This window comes from Homo sapiens, chromosome 5 (assembly GCF_000001405.40).
Source record: "Homo sapiens chromosome 5, GRCh38.p14 Primary Assembly".
NCBI classification, from domain to species: Eukaryota; Metazoa; Chordata; class Mammalia; order Primates; family Hominidae; genus Homo; species Homo sapiens.
Window position 1 is genome coordinate 178,006,818 of NC_000005.10, and position 20,325 is coordinate 178,027,142.

Consider the following 20,325-nt stretch of genomic DNA (forward strand, 5'->3'; position numbering starts at 1 on the left):
GCCAGACGGGCCCTCCCCTTAAGGCGGGGTGGGCCGCGCGCCTGCGATTTTCCGTCCGTGGTCCTGGGGCAGCCCGGGCCAGCCCAGGAGAACCCGCGAGCCCAGCGGCGCCTGCACCTGCGGCTTCCGGGAGCCGGGCGGCTTTGCGAGGCTCACTAGGTCTGAGAGGTCGGAGGCCGCCAGTGTCGCTGCTGAAGGGCGGACCAGGCGGGATCGCGGATTCTGGGCTAGATCGCAGACTTGGTATCGCGGATTGGGATTTGGATCGGGGATTTTGAGTTGGATCACGGATTGGGGGTTGGATCACGGATTGGGGGTTGGATCGCGGATTGGGGTTTGGATCGCGGATTGGGGGTTGGATCGCGGATTGGGGTTTGGATAGGGGATTTGGAGTTGGATTGGGGATTTGGGGCTGGGTGTGGGGCGAGGGGGAGTGAAAGGGTGACACGGAGCTGCCGCGGCTCAGGAGCCAGTGGTTGGGGGTCTGAGAAGAACTCACCACCTTGAAGAAGTTATTCGGCTTTGGGAGCCGCAGGGGCCGGCGGTCCGGGGCTCCCTAGGCCACGTCTACAGGGGTTCGGGGTACCGAATCGGAAGAACCACAGGGCGCTGTCAAGGGCGAAGCCGCGGAAGTGGAGCGCTGCCTGGCGCGCAGGAGCGGAGACCTGGAAGCCGGGGACAGGCAGCACAGGCAGCGGGGTGTGGGCTCAGCCCAGGGTGGGAGGGGGTCCCCAGGCCCGGCTTCCCCGCAGCCCCTGGGATGGGGCCTCGGAGGGCACCCTCAGAGGGGTGGTGCCAAACGGAGCCTCAGCTGCTCTGCATCCCCCATAATTCCCCAGCTGGAGCGCTTGGTGGAGAATGTGAGTGATTTAACTCACCAAGCTAAGCATACACAGTGTTATTTTTAACCTACACGTTTAAAACATGATGTTATATACATTATAGGAGGTGCCTAATGAGAGAACTCATTCCTCTATCAAAAAATACCGTGAGTCGGCCGGGCGCGGTGGCTCAGGCCTGTAATCCCAGCACTTTGGGAGGCCGAGGCGGGCGGATCACGAGGTCAAGAGATCGAGACCATCCTGGCTAACACGGTGAAACCCCGTCTCTACTAAAAATACAAAAAAAAAAAAAAAAAAAATAGCCGGGCGTGGTGGCGGGCGCCTGTAGTCCCAGCTACTCGGCAGGCTGAGGCAGGAGAATGGCGTGAACCCGGGAGGCGCAGTTTGCAGTGAGCCGAGATCGCGCCATTGCACTCCAGCCTGGGCGACAGAGTGAGACTCCGTCTCCAAAAAAAGAAAAGAAAAAAAAAAAACCGTGAGTCATTTTCAGTAGCGAAAAGCTCTCACCTAAAACTGTCCGTTTTACATCCGTATCCACCTGTGTAGATCGGTTCTTTACTGAAGGTTCTTAGAAGGAAACTTGGAAGTGGGAGGTGGGTTCTGTGTTCCTGAATGGGAAGACACATTTTTCTCAAAATGTGAGCTCTTTCTGTGATTATCAATTTTACATAAGCCGAATGAAAAAATCAAGGTTTTAACATTTTTGCATGACACCTACTGTCTTTTACTATTGTAATGATATTTGTAAAAATTTTAGGGCTGGGCGCGGTGGCTCACGCCTGTAATCCCCGCACTTTGGGAGGCCGAGGTGGGCGGATCACGAGGTCAGGAGATTGAGATTGAGACCATCCTGGCAAACACGGTGAAACCCTGTCTGTACTAAAAATACAAAAAAAAAAAAAAAAATAGCCGGGCGTGGTGGTGGGCGCCCATAGTCCCAGCTACTCCGGAGGCTGAGGCAGGAGAATGCTGTGAACCCGGGAGGGGGAGCTTGCAGTGAGCCGCCATCCAGAAGTGCTGGGATTACAGGTGTGAGCCACCGCGCCCGGCCTGAAAAGTGCATCTTCATTTTACAGGGAATTCTTTCAAATCAAATAATCAAAAACTGTAAAAGGGGGCAAAGTACTTTTTTGCAGATCTACAAGTTTCTTATGTAAATAGGAAAAAAAGCCTTTGCTTTTCTGGTATAAGCATTTAAATTAAAAGAGGAATGAAACTGTTTTCTATCCACAATGTGTGAGGATGTTTTTTATACTGCTGCCTGAAGTTTAAGTTGCTGATTACTTTTTAAATAGATAATTTGGTGGTAAGTACTATATTTTAAAAATGCGTATGCCCGTTACCCTTCAATTCCATTATACTAAAATACCCTTGGGAAATAGAGATACATGCACTTTGTTTTTCACAGCACTTATTTTAAAAAGAACCCATAGAATGGATCTTATAAGTAAATTTCAGTTGCATCCATAGGATGCAATAATATGTGACCATCAAAGGTGACAATAGATATAGAAGTACGTTGATGTGCAAAGATGTATTTTGTTTTAGCCAGCGAGGAAAAAAGAATCAGTTTGATTATACATTTACCAAACATTAAGAATTTAATATGGTAACTTTTATTTCAGTATTAAAATAGCAATTTTATTTATTACTTTTTTATATATAGAATTCGACACCAAATTTTGGAACTTAAAAAGAAGATTCTTAAAACTTACAATCCAGGTAAGACTTCTGATAGTGAATTTCTCATTTCTCGTGGTGGTCCTACTCTTGGTTTAAAAAAATTAAGATGTAAGATTAAGGTAGTTTTGAAGGAAAAGAAAAGTTTAAAAAGATGTGTAAATTGCATGTATATATACATATATACATACATGTAAATTAGTTTCTTATATTTAACTTCTTTAGTTTGGAATTAAGAGTTATTTAAGAAGGTAGTTGTAGCTGATTTATAATCTCAAACAGTATTATCTGAAAAAAAATCATTTACTTAATTATGATCCCGAAAATCCTATATAATATTTATGTTTTCTCTATAGTCACATTGTAACAAATTGGACTTGTTATACATATGGATCTTCTAGTTCATTTTTGTAATAAGTTGTTTATTTTTATAATAAATTGTTTATATTTAGTAAATACATAATTACAGTTGACCCATGAATAATTTGGGGGTTAGGGGCTCTGATTCCAGTGCAGCTGAAAATCTAAGTATAACTTTTGATTTTCCCAATTTAGCTACTAATAGCCCACTATTGACTGGAAGCCTTCCTGATAACATAAACGGTCGATTAACACCTATTTTATTTGTGCTGCATTATTATATACTGTGTTCTTACAATAAAGTAAGCTAGACAAGTGAAGCTGTTAGAAAGAAAATCTGCAGGAAAAATATATTGACTTTTCATAAAGCGTAAATGGATCCTCACAAAGGTCTTCATCTTTATCATCTTCAGGTTGTTCAGGCTGAGAAGGAAGAGAGGTTGGTCTTGCTGTCTCTGGGTTGCAGAGGCAGAAGAAAATCTGCATATAAATGAACTCCTGCAGCTCAAACCCTTGCTGTTCAAGGGTGAACTGTATTACCTGTTAATTTGTGTCACTAAGGAAGTATCTTTAGAACCGGGAACTCAACAATCCCTTTCTCGTAGAATAAATAAATGGCAGTAAGAACTGTAAAAGTGAACCAGTGTGCACCCATACGAATAGGAGATTATTTTTTGAAGATACCTACTGAGTGCAGAAAACAGAAAAGCAATTCCTTTGTGAGAAGCACAAGTTATGTTACATATTCTTACATAAGCAAAATGGTTTTATCTGTCATAGTTTACACACACACGTGCACATACACACATGTGCGTTCGGGTGCGCACACACACACACGCACACAAAGTTAAAAGTCCTGCTGATTGTTAATGACCAAATCCACTGCTTGCAGGGAGTAGTGGATAACACAGCCTACAGCTTGCATGCAATTCTTTTGGCTTTTTGACTTGTTCTGTGATGAACTGCCTTGAATGGGTCAACCATGTTTTAGTCTTATGAGAAATGAAAAGATTAGGGGCAAGTAAAAGGAACTCTATGATCAGTAGTTATACTATTATACTATTATACTATATTCAATGGTTATGCTTTTTTCCAGTTATACAAGTTACTTGAATGATGCACAATTAATTTATTATCATTATTATAAGAGATGGGCTCTCTCTATGTTGCCCAGGCTAGAATACGGTGTCTATTCAGTGGTACAGTCATAGCTCACTGTAGCCTGGAACTTCTGGGCTCAAGCAGTCCTCCTACCTCATCCTCCTGAGTAGCTGGGATTGTAGCCATGTGTAGTTACATCTAGCTGGATACACAATCATTTATTTATTTATTCATTTTTATTATTATTATTTTTTCAGACAGGTCCCCCTCTGTTGCCAGTACTGGAGTGCAGTGGTGGGATCTATCTTGGCTCCCTGCAACTTCTGCTTTCTGGCCTTAAATGATTCTTTCACCTCAGCCTCCCAAGTAGCTGGGACTACAGGCATGCCCCACCACGCTTGGCTAATTTTCCTTTTAAGGTTTTTTTTTCCTCACTATATTGCCCAGCCTGGTCTGGAAGTCTGGAACTTCTGGGCTCAAGTGATCCTCCTGCTTCGGCCTCCCAAAATGCTAGGATTTTACAGATGTGAGCCACCACACCTGGCCTGCACAATTATTATAAAAAGGAATTAAGCCCAGTTGAGTTGCAGAAAATTGACCACCTTTTCATTTTTTTTTCTAGAAACATTCATATTGTAGAACATATTGTCAATCATCAAGATTCCCTATTTTTTATTCTGGTAAAACTAGGATTGCTGCTTATTTCCCATTATTTTCTAACAATTGCTTCACTTATTTCTTTTATGGCTTTAATCAGTTGAGTATAGAAATACAAGAACCTCCAAGTCAAATATCAAGGAAAGAAAAGAAAAACAGATTAGGGAAAGTTATTCTGTGAAATAACCATCTGATTATAGGTCATGTCAACTTAATAAAAACCTTATATAATGCATTTGTGACAAGGGTTCCCAAGACCACCCCCAGGTTTGGTGATTCACTAGAAGGACTCACAGGATTCAGCAAATAATCATATTCAGATCTTTAATTGATTACAATGAAAGGGTACAAGCAAAATGAGAGGGAAAAGGTGCATGTGGTGGTCAAGTCTGGAGGAAACCAGGCACAAGCTTCCAGAAGTTCTCTCCTGTGGAGTTCCCAGGATCTGCTTAATTCTCCCAGCCTCACATTTTGACAACCCATGTGCAGTGATGTCTACCAGTCCCAGAATCTCATTAGAGACTCAGTACCCAAGTGTTTTTTATGGAGGTTACTCTCCCTCATATGTACCCACATTCCGACTCTCAGAAGGAAAGCAGCTGCTCAGAAGTAACCGCATTGTTTCTATAAACACTTTAGACACAGTGACCAGTCTTAGGGCATGGTGGGAACCCTCCCAATTCCAATTTCCTAAACAACAGCCAAGGGCCAGGCTTGCATGCGGGTCTTTCTAAGGACGGCAGTCTCTCTCCTGCTATATGAAATCTTTCCTGCACAACAGTTTTAGCCCCAACTTAATTTTTGGTGCTGTTTTAAAATTTCATTTTAACAGCAAATAATATTATAAGATAAGGTAACCTGGTGCTAGTTTCTGTTGCATGATCCATCCTGTGTTGCAATGCTGGCTACCTTTTTGACTTCTGGTGACTCACAGGTATTTGAATGGAAGTTACCATAGCAATATTAAGCAATTATAATCTGTCCTTCTTATCTCTTTAACCTTTCAGTGAAAGTGTTAAATTGAATAAGCATAATAATTTCTGAGTTAAAATTGGAATAAAAATGGTCTTTTATTTTGATTATGTGAATCTAGTTTTCATATCGTGCTAAATCCCTGTTTAGAGTTAGGAAATAAGATATTTAATCATTTTATCAATATTTTCTTGCCTAAGCTTGCAATTGAATTTATTTGTTTTATGCATTTTCTATACTGCGATTTGAGAAATCATGCCCACATGCTGTTACTTTGGTCTTTAATGATCTCCAATTTTTAGGGTTACCACTGTGTCCTGCTTAAATATATCATAATAACAGATTCAGTGAATATCTTTTATTTTTTATTTTTGTTCTGGAAATCCTGGGATGCATAGACAGTGAATATGTTTTTTAAATCAATAACTCTATTTCTTATAGCAGTTTTAGGTTCACAGCAAAATCGGAGGAAGGTACAGAGATTTCTCCTCTGTTCCATGCCTCCCACACATGCACGGCCTCCCCCATGATTAGTATTTTCCACCAGAGTGGTACATTTGTTACAACTGATGATCCTACATTGACACATTATAATCACTCAAAGTTCATAGTTGACATCAGGCTCCATTCTTAATACTGTACATTCTGTGAATTTGGACAAATGTATAATGACATGTGTCTATTTATTATAGATAGAACAGTTTCACTGCCCTAAAAATGCTCTATTCTCTGCCTGTTCATCTCTCCCTTTCTCCCTAGCAGCTGCTGGAAACCACTGATCTTTTATCTGTCTTCATAGTTTTACTTTTTTCAGGAGAGTCATATAGTTGAAATAATACAATGGATATCTTTTTGAATAGTTAAAAAAGTAAAGTTCCATGGTAATTGAATGTAGTCATTTAAGATGTTCTTTGTCCTTTTGTTTTTCTTTAGCTTCTTTGTCTTTGTAAGGTCTGATGACATATGCTTTACATACTTAGGAAACATGATTTGTATAGGCCTTTGCCACATAATGGAAAGGGTTGAGGAAAATGACACCATGCAATACCACACAGCACAAACTGGAGCATCTTGCTCCAGTGAGGTGGGTCCAGATAGACTCCCTAGCAATGGAAGGGGAGAAGCTCAAGAGGTTGTACTTTAAAAAACTGGAATCACAAAGTCTTTCATACTTACCTTGGGTTGGAAATAAGACCAGGCAGTGAATGTTATAGATAAATACATATGTTCCTCACTGATCCTCTTCCTTTGAGGGATGACTTTGAAAACAGTCTGTGTTATGATGACATGACTCACCTGCAACTAGATTCTGTGTCGTGAGGGACGGCAGTTTTGCTTTATGTGAGGTGAAAAAGAATTTTTTTCTCCTACTAGGGAAAGGGGCAAGCATTGGAACATTCTGGCAGCAAGAGGGCATTGATAGTTTTCTTTCTGTATATTTTTCACATCATATAGTACTGCCTGGCAGCCTGGCACACCTCGCCGGTGTTTCTTAAGCTTCTCTCTGAATGTGAGGCGTGGTTCCGAGTGTATAAGCTCTTAAAGGAGTGATCTTTCCAGTGGTTCTTTCCGTGGGAGGTAAAATGGCAGGTGAATTTGGGCCTTCTTATACGTAGGGCAGAGTATATAGCTACAACTAAGGAAACCACCCAGCACCTTCCCCAGAAGAGTAGTATCCAGAGTAACACATTGAGCTCTCTTGAGCTCTTCTCCACTGGCAGCTGGAAAGTTTTTGCAAGGATCCCTGTTGCTGGTCTGATTCCTACATTCTGCTGGCTTCTGGTGATAGGGTGTTTGATTCTATACTGAAAAGTTTTAACTGAAGAGCTAGAGAGGCTGTGTTGTGTTACAACAAAATAAGTGCAGTAGTTCCCCGTTAACTATGGGAGATAACATTCTAAGACACCCCCAGTGAATGCCTGAGACCACAAATAGTACTGAATCACCCACTGGTTTTTCCTACACATACATAACCATGATAATATTTAATGTATAAATTAGGCACAGTAAGAAACGAACAATAAAATAACAAATTATACTGTAATAAAAGTTACTTGAATGTGGTCTCTTGAAATATATTGTACGGTTCTCACCCATTTTTTTTTTTTTTGGGACGGAGTCTCGCTCTGTCGCCCAGGCTGGAGTTCAATGCTGTGATCTCGGCTCGCTGCAAGCTCTGCCTCCTGGGTTCACACCATTCTGCTGCCTCAGCCTCCGGAGTAGCTGGGACTACAGGCGCCCACCACAAAGCCCGGCTAATTTTTTTTTTTTTTATTTCTTTAGTAGAGATGGGGTTTCACCGTGTTAGCCAGGATGGTCTTGATCTCCTGACCTCGTGATCCGCCCGCCTCGGCCTCCCAAAGTGCTGGGATTACAGGTGTGAGCCACTGCACCCGGCTGGTTCTCACCCTTTTTCTTGTGATGATGTGAAGTGATACAATGCCCGTGTAATGAGATGAACTGAGGTGAATGACGTGATCCTAGATCGTCAGGCCTTGATGTTGGCGGCGGGCTACAGGAGGAGACCGTGTTGATGACTAACGGGTGGACAGCATGTGCAGTGTGGGTGCACTGCAGGACGATTCACATCCTGGGCTGGATAGAGGGTGCTGACGGTTTCACTGTGCTTCTCGGAATGGCACACTAAAACTTATGACCTCTTTATTTCTGGAGTTTTCCGTGTATATTTTTGGAATACAGTTGACTATTAGTAACTGTAACCACAGAAATCAAAACTGCAGATGTAAAATCTCTGGATCTTAACTCATTTGTTGGGTACAATTCTTAAAATCCTTAGGATTTCCAAAGTGATGTTTTTTTGTATGCTAATGATCCATGGCTGGAAGCCCCTAGGTAGCTTCAGGATGGGAACTGGTCACCATCCTGAAGACATGATTGATTAGAGTGTTGAGATCTTCTGTCTCATTCAGGAGACTCTGGAGAGGAGAGAAGAGCTGAAGGTTGTCAGTCACCAAAGGCCAGTGATTAATCAGTGATACCAATATAATGAAGCTTTCATCAAGACCCAAAGTGACTGGGCTTGGAGAGCTTCCAGATGGCTGAATGCATGGAGGCTCCTACAGGATGGTGTGTCCTGGGAGGGCATGGAATCTCCGTGCCACCTCCCCCATACTTTGCACTATGCATCTCTTCATCTGTATCTTTTGTAATGTCATTCATAGAAAACTGGTAAATGTGTTTCCCTGAGTACTTTGAGCCACTCTAGCAATTCAATTTAACCCAAAGAGGGAGTCCTGGGAACCTCAATTTGAAGACAGTTGGCCAGAAGTTCTGGAGTTTCAGACCTACAACTGATGTAGGGAGGCAGTTTCATGGGACTGAGCCCTTTACCTGTGCAATCTGATGCTATCTGCAGATAGAGTGTGAGAATTGACTTAGAGGATGCCCAGTTTGTGTCATCGGCAGAAATGATTGCTTACTTGTTGGTGGAGAAAAACCCTCCACACGTTTTGTCACAGGAGACTTCTTTGTTATTGTTGCTGTGACGTGACAGCAGAGAAAAACAGGTCAAATGTGTCTTTTCCACACATACAGTGGACAAGGGGTACTACTGTATACTCTGTTTGAACTGCCCGTCATGTTTTGGTCCTGAAATCATGCTCTTTGACACTGTTCATTCATCACACCTGTTCTGCTAACAATACCATTTTTAGTCAATCTCACAGGGTTTGGCTAGGATAACTTGTATACTGCGGTTCACTTGTAGATATCAAATTTTATAAATTTATTCTTCTTTGCATTTAATAAATACAAAGTAAGGGAAGTAAGAGTTCTTACTGCATTAATTATCTACTAATAGGTATAATTAATATTAATTCTAATAAGGTCCCGGTTATGCTCCCAAAGGAATGCTATATAACAAAGCATCAGTCCTATGCTTTAAAAAAAGAAAAGAAAAGAAAAGAAAAAAACATGGTCTGAAGTCTGCACACAAGTGTGCATAACTTTTTTGTGAAGATAGAGTCTTGCTGTTTCCCAAGCTGGCCTCAAACTTCTGGGTTCCTCAAGTGATCCTCCTGCCTCAGCCTCCCAAGTAGTTGGGAATACAGGCATGTATCACTGTGCCTTCTTATGCTTTTAATATTCTATACAATTATTATTGATTTATAATGCAGTATACCTTTTTCTTTAATAGATTCTGGGAGTTCTGATGAATATGCAGTCAGGTAGGATTTTACAGATTTAAAAAAATATGTTAACTAAGGAAATATAGATGGAAGAGATTCATATCTGTTGAGTGTTGTATTCTGGGCTAAACCCCTATTGTGTGCTATGCATTTATCATCCCATAAAGCCATTGCAACATCTGTGTTCTTATAACCTACTGTTTATTACATAGGCAACTGTGGTTTAGAGGTTGATTAATTGGCTCATGACCCCGTAGTTAACAAAGTAGCTGACCCACAGTTAAACCATCAGCCTGTCTGGCTTCCAGATCCCTTATCTTGCTCCTCAGCATAGATTGATAGAAATCTGTGCAGCACTTGGATCAAGGTACACGTCTGAATCAGATTAATTTAGACAGTCAAATCTGGTTGTATGTTAACTCTCATTTAAGGTTATTGTTAGAAATGTGGTTAGTCCAAGAGTTTCTCCTCATAAATTTGACAGTTTCAGTGGTAGCCAATATCTTATTTTACCATCAAAGGCTTTAGGGCAAAGTAAAGGTTTGGCCATAGGATTATAATTTTACAAAAGCAAGATTAGACAAGTCTCAGAAATTATTTGACTTCCCAGTTTGGTTTTCCCTTTAGGCTAGTACTTCTGCTTAATTCCATAATACTTTTTTTTAGACTTTTTCCTTTTTCCATGACATTTCTATAATCCTGTCTTGATGTTGTAAAACTTTCTTCTCTGCTTTTCTTGGTCTTTCTTTTGTTGTATTATTTTTTCAAAATCTGCTGACTATGTATTCCCAGTTTTCTTATAGACAGAATCAAAAGCACATAGAATTACAGAATTTTAAGGAATCATAGGACAAATTAAAATAACCTCTAGTACTTTAACCTGTGTTAAACATTCTGGTCAAGTGTTTCTCTAGATAGAGAACGTGAGACTCAAAGAGATTAGGATAGTTTTTTTATATATAGGAAGTGGCAGAAAGGAGATTTCAACTCATTTTAAAGCTCAGTACTTGTCTTTTTTTTTTTTTTTTATCCTATTGGCATGTTTTTCTGTTTGTTTTTTGTTTTATTTTGTTTTTTTGAGACAGTCTCTCTCTGCTGCCCAGGCTGGAGTGCAGTGGCACAGTCTTGGCTCAATGCAACCTCTGCCGCCCGAGTTCAAGTGATTCTCCTGCCTCAGCCTCCTGAGTAGCTGGGATTACATGCACTTGCCACTACACCCGGGTAGTATTTGTATTTTAAGTAGAGGTGGGGTTTCAGCATCTTGGCCACGCTGGCCTTGAACTTCAGACCTCGATCCACTCGTCTCCACCACCCAAAGTGCTGAGATCACAGGCAAGAGCCACGACGCCAGGTTTGGCATGTGTTTTAATAATACAAAGTAGGTCGGGGCACAGTGGCTCACAACTGTAGGTCCTCATTTGCATGAGCTAAGTTTTTCATAGCAATCAAAAGCAAAGCAAGCCCAGGTGTTCGCCATTCTCCTTAATGGCATCAAGCCCAGGGTTTGAGAGCCGTTTTCATTGGCCCCAGATGACCTGTTCATACCTGTCTTCATTGTGCCCAGCTCGGGGCTTCAAAGCTGGCTTCATCCAGGCCTGCAAAGGTGTTCGCAGTGGTCCTCATCTAAGCCAGCCAAGGTGTTCTCTTACCATCCACACGATAGCCAGCCCAGATGTCCCTAGCCGTCCTCATCGAGGCCAGCCAGTTTGTTCACACTCGTGCTTATTGGGGCCAGCCACCTTCATAGAGGTCGTCTCAGGTATTTACAGGCATCCTCACTGGGGCCAGCCCATGTGTCCACAGCTGTCCTCAGTGGGCATAGCCCGGGTGTTCATAGTTTTCCTCACTGGACTTAATCCAGGTGTTCTGAGCAATTCACATGGTCCCAGGCCAGGTGTTGACAGGTGTCCTCAATGGGGATGGCCCAGATGTTCACCGTTGTCTTAATTAGGCCAAGTGCAGATGCCCATAGCTGCCTCACAGGGCTCAGCCAAAAGGAACAAGGCTGTTCTCCTGAGCCCACATCACGTATTTATAGCTTTCCACATTGGGGTCAGCCCAGGTGTTGGTAGCCATGCATTCTGGGCCAATCCGTTATTCCAAGCTGTTTCCTTGGGCCCAGCCCAGGTGTCCACAGCCATCCTCAATGGTCCAGCACAGGTGTTCAGAGCTATCCTCCTTGGCCCCAGGCCAGATGTTGACACTCGATCTGACTGGGCCCAGACCGGGTATGCAAAGCTGTCTTAACTGGGAGCAGCCCATGCTTTCACAGCGGTCTTCACTGGTGTCAGCCAGGTTTCTCAGAACTGTCACTTGGCCGAACCTTGGTGTACATTGCCATCCCCATGGAGCACAGCTCAGGTATCCATAGCCATCCTCGCTGGGGCCAGCTGAGGTGTTCCCAGCCATCCTCATTTGTCTCAGTGCAGGGGTTCACAGCTGTCCTCATTGGCTGAGCCTAGTTGTTCCTTGCAATCATTACTTGAGCAAGACCAGGTGTTCATGGCTGTTCTAATTGGGGGCGAGCCCAGGAGTTAATGGTGCTCCTCATCTGGGCCAGCCCAGGTATCCACAGCCATCCTCATCATGATCAGTTTCAGTGTTCAAAGCTGTCCTCCTGAGGCCAGCCTGGTTGTTCGCTGCTGCTTTTACTGGGCCCAGCCCAGGTTTTCCCAGCTTCCCTCACTGGGGCTAGCGCAGGTGTTCACAGCTTTCCTCATTGGGCCCAGGCCATGGGTTCATAGCCATCTTCATCAGGCAAAGCCAAGGTGTTCACAGCCATTTTTTCCGGGTCCAGCCGAAGTCGCCCTCACTTGGGCCCAGCCCAGGTGTTAATAGTCGTCATCAGTGGGATTAGCCCAGTTGTTCACAGCATCTTTCTAGGGCTGAGTTTAGGTGTCAAGAGCCATTCATCTTGGGCCCAGCCAGCTGTTCATAGGCATCCTCATGGGGACAGGCCCAAGTGCTCACAGTGGCTCTCACTGAAACCAGGGCAGGTGTTTTCGGCTGTCTTCATTGGGCCCAGCCTAGACATTCATAGCTGTGCTCAAGGCGACCAGCCACGATGTTAACAGCTGTCTTCAGGGCAATCGTCCCCGGTGCCACAGCTGTCCTTATTGGCTTAGCCCAAGTGTTCTCAGCTGTTCTCGTTGGACCCAGGCCAGGTGTTCACAGCTGTCCTCACTGGCCCAGCCCAGGTTTCCATAGCCACCCTCACTGGGCCCAGCTCAGGGCTTCACAGCTGTTTACTCTGGGCCGAGTCCAAACACTCCAAGCTGTCCTTAGAGGGCCCAGCCAAGGCGTTCACAGCCATCCTCATTGGTAGCTAGCCCAGGTGTTAGTCCTTGTCCTCAGTGGGCCAGACCAGTGTTCACAGACATCCTTATTGGGCCAGCCCAGGAGTTCCATGCTGACCTCGCTGGGCCCTGCCTAGCACTTCATAGCTGTCCTCACTGGGCCCAGGCCAGGTGTTTGCAGCCATCCCCATCAAGGTCAGCCCAGGGGTTCACAGCCTTCCTTGTTTGTATGAACTCAGTTTATTATAGCAACAGTTTTTGATGGCTGTCAATATCAAGGCAAGCCCAGGAGTTCACGCTACCCCTCAGTAACATCAAGCCCAGGGTTAAGAGCCATTTTCACTGGCCCCAGGCCACCTGTTCATAGCTGTCTTCATTGTTTCCAGCCCAGGGCTTCCCAGCTGTCTTCATCCAGGCCTGCGCCGGTGTTCACAGTGGTCCTCATCTAAGCCAGCCAAGAAGATCTCTGTCATCCACGTGACAGCCAGCCCAGATGTCCCTAGCCGTCCTCATCAAGGCCAGCCAGTTTGCTTACACGTGTGCTAATTGGAGCCAGCCACCCTCATAGAGGCCATCCCAGGTACCGACAGCCATCCACACTGGGCCCAGCCCAGGTGTCCACACCTGTCCCCATTGAGCCTAGCCCTGGTGTTCATGGCTTTTGTCACAGGACTTCTCCCAGTTGTTTCCAGCAGTTTCCATGGTCCCAGGCCAGGGTTTCACAGACATCCTCAATGGGGACAGCCCATCTGTTCACCGTTGTCTTAATTAGGCCCAGTGCAGATGTTCACACGTGTCTTCCTTTGGCTCAGCCAAAATGAACAGAACTCCTGAGCGCATACCAGCGGTTTCTAGCTGTCCACATTGGGGCCAGCCCAGGTGTTCGTAGCCCTACGTTCTGGGCCCATCCCAGTTATTCCAAGCTGTCCTCTTGGGCCTAGCCCAGGTGTCCACAGCCATTCTCCTTGGTCCCGGCACAGGTGTTCACAGCTATCCTCCTTGGCCCCAGGCCACATGTTCACATGCCATCTCACTGGGCCCAGAGCAGCTATGGAAATTTTTGCTCTTGAAGTTGAGGTCTGTTTTAATTGAGGTTTCTGAGGTTGTATAGCAGTGTGCAGATGCAGGTGACTTGTGCCCCAGCACTGGGCTGCCTGGCTGTGCCCTGGGCTTGTGTGACCTTCAGTCTGTGCTGGGCTGGAATCTGCTCTAGAGGTTTCCAGATTTCTTTTTACCCTCCACCCCAACAGACCCTCAGGCCTTTTTGTGCTCACTTCCCAAGCTCCCCCTGGACTCTGCTCCGGAGTCCATGTCAGCCCCGCCTGGGACCTTGACTGCCACATCACCCACATTGCTCCTCTCAGCCTGTGATGACGATATATCCAGACCCCTTTCTGCCCCAGAGCTGCAGTGGGTCTCAGAGGAGCCCAGCTTTACCCCACAGTCTACCCTGGGAAGGTGGAGACACATCTGATACTGTCACTGCAGGGGGTGCCCCATATGGCAGCTGCTCCACCAGGGCTGCCCTGACCCGTCCCCAGCTGTAAGTCCCATGTCACTGGTGTGCACAGGCACTCACCTCTTTAACTTTGTCACGTCCACATTCTTAAGTGTTTGGTGGCACCAGGACCTGGCAGGTCTGAGGGAAGGACCCCTCGAAGCTCAGTTAGTTCTCTATGTCCAGCAAGGATGAGTGTGAGGCCCCGAGCATCGAGCATCGGGAAAACCACGTCAGGTGTTCCTCCCAAGTAGGTGCCCATTGCAGTGCCTGCCCCTGCCAGAGGGCACTGCCTGAGCTAAATCCCCCGTCTCACCTTCCCAGACCTTCACCTGGTTTCAGGGCTCCTCAGCCACCCACATATCGCTGAAATGTCAAAGAGCTTGTGAGGAAGCTTCTGGGGCACCTGCCTTCTAGAGGAGGCTGAGGGCAGCTGCGGATGGTTATTTATGGGGATGTTTTTGGCCTGGGCCACAAGCAGGTGGGTAAGTGGCACAGGGATGGCAGCTTAAGGTGCCCTGGCTTCTCTGCGTGGCTGTCACTGAGCAGAGGAGTCCGGGCCTGCCAGCAGGTTCCATCCTAGCTTATTCTCTGTGTGTCCTCAGTTGGGGTACCTACCCGGTCTCTGCCTCAGTTTCCTCCTCTGTGAGACAGTGATCCTAACAGGCCCTACCTCTGACAGTGGTTTTGATGAAGTACGCGATGTGGGTGAAGCACCTGGAGCTGGCCCACTCACAAAGAACGCGCCACGGACTCTCAAGGTTAATGTTGAAAAGGGGCTGGGGTGGGGCAAAAGTGGGCCGGCCATTTCCGCTCCAGGTGCCTGGGCTGACAGATTGGATTAAATTAGCATGTGCATTGCTGAGTGCACAGGGGACAGTTGCCCAGGCCAGAGGCATCAGGGTCAAAGCTGGTGATGCCTTGGCCTCATCACCCCAGGCTAGGGCCAGTGCATGATGCAGTCGGCCAGGGGAGGGCTCTGGAGCCCTGCAGCCGAGGGGGCCTGGTGACCCTCACAAGGTCATTCACAGGCCACTAGGATGGCCTGCCCTTTTCCGGCCAGGCCTCACTCTAGGAAAAAAAAAATTGATTGTAACCTCGTTGGCAGTTTCCTTTGCATAGAAGTGGGAATTCGCTGCTAGCGAGGCTGGTGATGAACTCCGCAAAAGCTGGGAAATCTCGTTTGAGCAGGAGCGCCCATTATCTTGGCCAAGCTGCTGCAGCTGGGCTGAGCGGGTGTGGAAGTGTGGGTGGTAGTCGTGTAAGTTCTCCAGCCAAGCCCAAGTTCCTCTGCAGACCTGTGCATGACGGCATATCCAGATGATTCCAACCTCCTGCTGTGGATTCAGTCCCGCTCCGTAAGACTTCTCTGCAGTCCCCAGACATCAACAAGGAGCAATAAGCTATCTTTTCTGTGTCTTACCTGAATTCTTGTCCCTGTGAAGCATTAGCAAATTGAAATGTTTGTTTTCTACCAGCATTTGGGGGTATTAGTTTTTTTTATTTAAAAATAATCACAGTAAAGACATCAGGAATAACACACTTGTAGGACATTCACGAGGTACAGAAGAATGCACACCGAAATCTGGACTTGTCTTTTCCTCTTCTGTAGCCTGCCAGCTTCTGCCTCTGGAAGTAACAACTGTTAAGTTTCTGCACATCTTTCCAGATTTATTAATTGAACAATCATATAGCACTGACACCGTGACAAAGCTTTGTCAAAGGACTTTGGCTACCAGTGTAAAAGACTCATTTATTTTCATTTACTGTGAACACTTAGGTGGCACCAGGAAGGAAAGCCTTATGCTCATTCCTTTTTATTCTTCCTAACATATTCTGTTTTTAAAAATGTCTTTTCCAGGGGCTGGGCACAGTGGCTCACGCCTGTAATACCAACACTTTGGGAGGCCGAGGCGGGTGGATCACTTGGTCAAGAGATCGACACCATCCTGGATAACACGGTGAAACCCTGTCTCTACTAAAAATACAAAAAATTAGCTGGGCACAGTGGCGGGCGCCTGTAGTCCCAGCTACTCGGGAGGCTGAGGCAGGAGAATGGCGTGAACCTGGGAGGCAGAGGTTGCAGTGAGCCGAGATCGTGCCACTGCACTCCAGCCTGGGCGACAGAGCAAGACTCCATCTCAAAAAAAAAAAAAAAAAAAAAAGTCTTTCCCAATTTGGCATTAAGAGATATAAATCTGTGGTCTGGTATTTTTTAATTGAGTTTTTTCACTCTCTCTCATATATGTGTATATATATATATATATGTGCACACCTGCCCAATTTTCTATTCAGTTGTTGACAATTAAAATTCTCCATTTACACAGGTAATATGTGTTCCTTCCTAAATTCTGTTAACCACCCCTTCAATTAGATAATTCCTGAAAAAAATTGCAACATCTATGTTAATGCAGTTTTTTTTGTATTTTGTATTTTTTATTTTTTGTTTATTATACTTTAAGTTTTAGGGTACATGTGCACAACGTGCAGGTTTGTTACATATGTATACATGTGCCATGTTGGTGTGCTGCACCCATTAACTTGTCATTTAACATTAGGTATATCTCCTAATGCTATCCCTCCCCCCACCCCCCACCCCACAACAGGCCCCAGTGTGTGATGCTCCCCTTCCTGTGTGCATGTGTTCTCATTGTTCAATTACCACCTATGAGTGAGAACATGTGGTATTTGGTTTTTTGTCCTTGCTATAGTTTGCTGAGAATGATGGTTTCCAGCTTCATCCATGTCCCTACAAAGGACATGAACTCATCATTTTTTATGGCTGCACAGTATTCCATGGTATATATGTGCCACATTTTCTTAATCCAGTCTATCATTGTTGGACATTTGGGTTGGTTCCAAGTCTTTGCTATTGTGAATAGTGCCACAATAAACATACGTGTGCATGTCTTTATAGCAGCATGATTTATAATCCTCTGGGTATATACCCAGTAATGGGATGGCTGGGTCAAATGGTATTTCTAGTTCTAGATCCCTGAGAAATCACCACTCTCTCTTCCACAATGGTTGAACTAGTTTACAGTCCCACCAACAGTGTAAAAATGTTCCTATTTCTCCACATCCTCTCCAGCACCTGTTGTTTCCTGACTTTTTAATGATCGCTATTCTAACTGGTGTAAGATGGTATCTCATCGTGGTTTTGATTTGCATTTCTCTGATGGCCAGTGATGATGAGCATTTTTTCATGTGTCTGTTGGCTGCATAAATGTCTTCTTTTGAGAAGTGTCTCTTCGTATCCTTTGCCCACTTCTTAATGGGGTTGTTTTTTTCTTGTAAATTTGTTTGAGTTCTTTGTAGATTCTGGATATTAGCCCTTTATCAGATGAGTAGATTGCAAAAATTTTTCTCCCATTCCTTAGGTTGCCTGTTCACTCTGATGGTAGTTTCTTTTCTGTGCAGAAGCTCTATAGTTTAACTGATCCCATTTGTTAATTTTGGCTTTCGTTGTCATTGCTTTTGGTGTTTTATACATGAAGTCCTTGCCCATGCCTATGTTCTGAATGGTATTGCCTAGGTTTTCTTCTAGGGTTTTTATGGTTTAAGTCTAACATTTAAGTCTTTAATCCATCTTGAATTAATTTTTGTAAAAGGTGTAAGGAAGGGATCTAGTTTCAGCTTTGTACATATGGCTAGCCAGTTTTCCCAGCACCATTTATTATATAGGGAATCCTTTCCCCATTTCTTGTTTTTGTCAGGTTTATCAAAGATCAGATAGTTGTAGATATGTGGCATTATTTCTGAGGGCTCTGTTCTGTTCCATTGGTCTATATCTCTGTTTTGGTACCAGTACCATGCTGTTTTGGTTACTGTAGCCTTGTAGTATAGTTTGAAGTCAGGAAGCGTGATGCCTCCAGCTTTGTTCTTTTGGCTTAGGATTGACTTGGCGATGCGGGCTCTTTTTTGGTTCCATATGAACTTTAAAGTAGTTTTTTCCAATTCAGTGAAGAAAGTCATTGGTAGATTGACGGGGATGGCATTGAATCTATAAATTACCTTGGGCAGTATGGCCATTTTCACAATATTGATTCTTTCTACCCATGAGCATGGAATGTTCTTCCATTTGTTTGTATCCTCTTTTATTTCATTGAGCAGTGGTTTGTAGTTCTCCTTGAAGAGACCCTTCACATCCCTTGGAAGTTGGATTCCTAGGTATTTTATTCCCTTTGAAGCAATTGTGAATGGGAGTTCACTCATGATTTGGCTCTCTGTTTGTCTGTTATTGGTGTATAAGAATGCTTGTGATTTTTGTACATTGATTTCGTATCCTGAGACTTTGCTGAAGTTGCTTATCAGCTTAAGGAGATTTTGGGCTGAGACGATGGGGTTTTCTAGATATACAATCATGTCATTTGCAAACAGGGACAATTTGACTTCCTCTTTTCCTAATTGAATACCCTTTATTTCCTTCTGCCTGATTGCCCTGGCCAGAACTTCCAACACCATTTTGAAGAGGAGTGGTGAGAGAGGGCATCCCTGTCTTGTGCCAGTTTTCAAAGGGAATGCTTCCAGTTTTTGCCCATTCAGTATGATATTGGCTGTGGGTTTGTCATACATAGCTCTTATTATTTTGAGATACGTCCCATCAATAACTAATTTATTGAGAGTTTTTAGCATGAAGGGCTGTTGAATTTTGTCAAAGGCCTTTTCTGCATCTATTGAGATAATCATGTGGATTTTGTCTTTGGTTCTGTTTATATGCTGGATTACGTTTATTGATTTGCGTATGTTGAACCAGCCTTGCATCCCAGGGATGAAGCCCACTTGATCGTGTTGGATAAGCTTTTTGATGTGCTGCTGGATTCGGTTTGCCAGTATTTTATTGAGGATTTTTGCATCAATGTTCATCAGGGATATGGGTCTAAAATTCTCTTTTTTTTTTGTTGTGTCTCTGCCAGGCTTTGGTATCAGGATGATGCTGGCCTCATAAAATGAGTTAGGGAGGATTCTCTCTTTTTCTATTGATTGGAATAGTTTCAGAAGGAATGGTACCAGCTCCTCCTTGTACCTCTGGTAGAATTCGGCTGTGAATCCATCTGGTCCTGGACTTTTTTTGGTTGGTAAGCTATTAATTATTGCCTCAATTTCAGAGCCTGTTATTGGTCTATTCAGAGATTCAACTTCCTCCTGGTTTAGTCTTGGGAAGGTGTATGTGTCGAGGAATTTATCCATTTCTTCTAGTTTTTCTAGTTTATTTGTGTAGAGGTGTTTATAGTATTCTCTGACGGTCATTTGTATTTCTGTGGGATCGGTGGTGATCTCTCCTTTACCATTTTTTATTGCCTCTATTTGATTCTTCTCTCTTTTCTTGTTAGTCTTGCTAGCAGTCTATCAATTTTGTTGATCTTTTCAAAAAACCAGCTCCTGGATTCATTGATTTTTTGAAGGGCTTTTTGTGTCTCTGTTTCCTTCAGTTCTGCTCTGATCTTAGTTATTTCTTGCTTCTGCTAGCTTTTGAATATGTTTGCTCTTGCTTCTGTAGTTCTTTTAATTGTGATGTTAGGGTGTTAATTTTAGATCTTTCCTGCTTTCTCTTGTGGGCATTTAGTGCTATAAATTTCCCTCTAACACACTGCTTTAAGTGTGTCCCAGAGATTCTGGTATGTTGTGTCTTTGTTCTCATTGGTTTCAAAGAAGATCTTTATTTCTGCCTTCATTTTGTTATGTAGCCAGTAGTCATTCAGGAGCAGGTTGTTCAGTTTCCATGTAGTTGAGTGGTTTTGAGTGAGTTTCTTAATCCTGAGTTCTAGTTT

At 44.1% G+C, this 20,325-nt stretch overlaps 2 pseudogenes across 2 annotated transcripts in view, besides 2 other annotated features; both read left to right on the forward strand.

Moving 5' to 3' along the window:
* LOC100288656 (ankyrin repeat domain 18A pseudogene) lies at positions 401-691 on the forward strand (annotated as a pseudogene).
* Positions 875-20,325, forward strand: part of FAM153CP (family with sequence similarity 153 member C, pseudogene) — a 55,897-nt pseudogene continuing 36,446 nt past the window's right edge. The window contains exons 1-2 of one of the 2 annotated variants that reach the window (NR_149722.1): positions 875-1,317; positions 2,509-2,564. The product of NR_149722.1 is annotated as a family with sequence similarity 153 member C, pseudogene, transcript variant 2 (transcript). Of the gene's footprint in view, positions 1,318-2,379; positions 2,565-20,325 lie in introns of those variants that run through there. The other variant, NR_159407.1, reaches the window with a different exon arrangement.
* Positions 3,144-3,688: an enhancer, noted in NCBI's record as "NANOG hESC enhancer chr5:177436962-177437506 (GRCh37/hg19 assembly coordinates)". NCBI's record gives its function as "activates a minimal SCP1, AML or CMV promoter by ChIP-STARR-seq in naive H9 embryonic stem cells {active_cell/tissue: H9 hESC(naive)}" and the evidence as "EXISTENCE:reporter gene assay evidence [ECO:0000049][PMID:30033119]".
* Positions 11,370-14,359: a non allelic homologous recombination region, noted in NCBI's record as "DLCR-2B recombination region, recombines with the PLCR-B recombination region". NCBI's record gives the evidence for it as "EXISTENCE:nucleotide sequencing assay evidence [ECO:0000219][PMID:15580547, PMID:15640245]".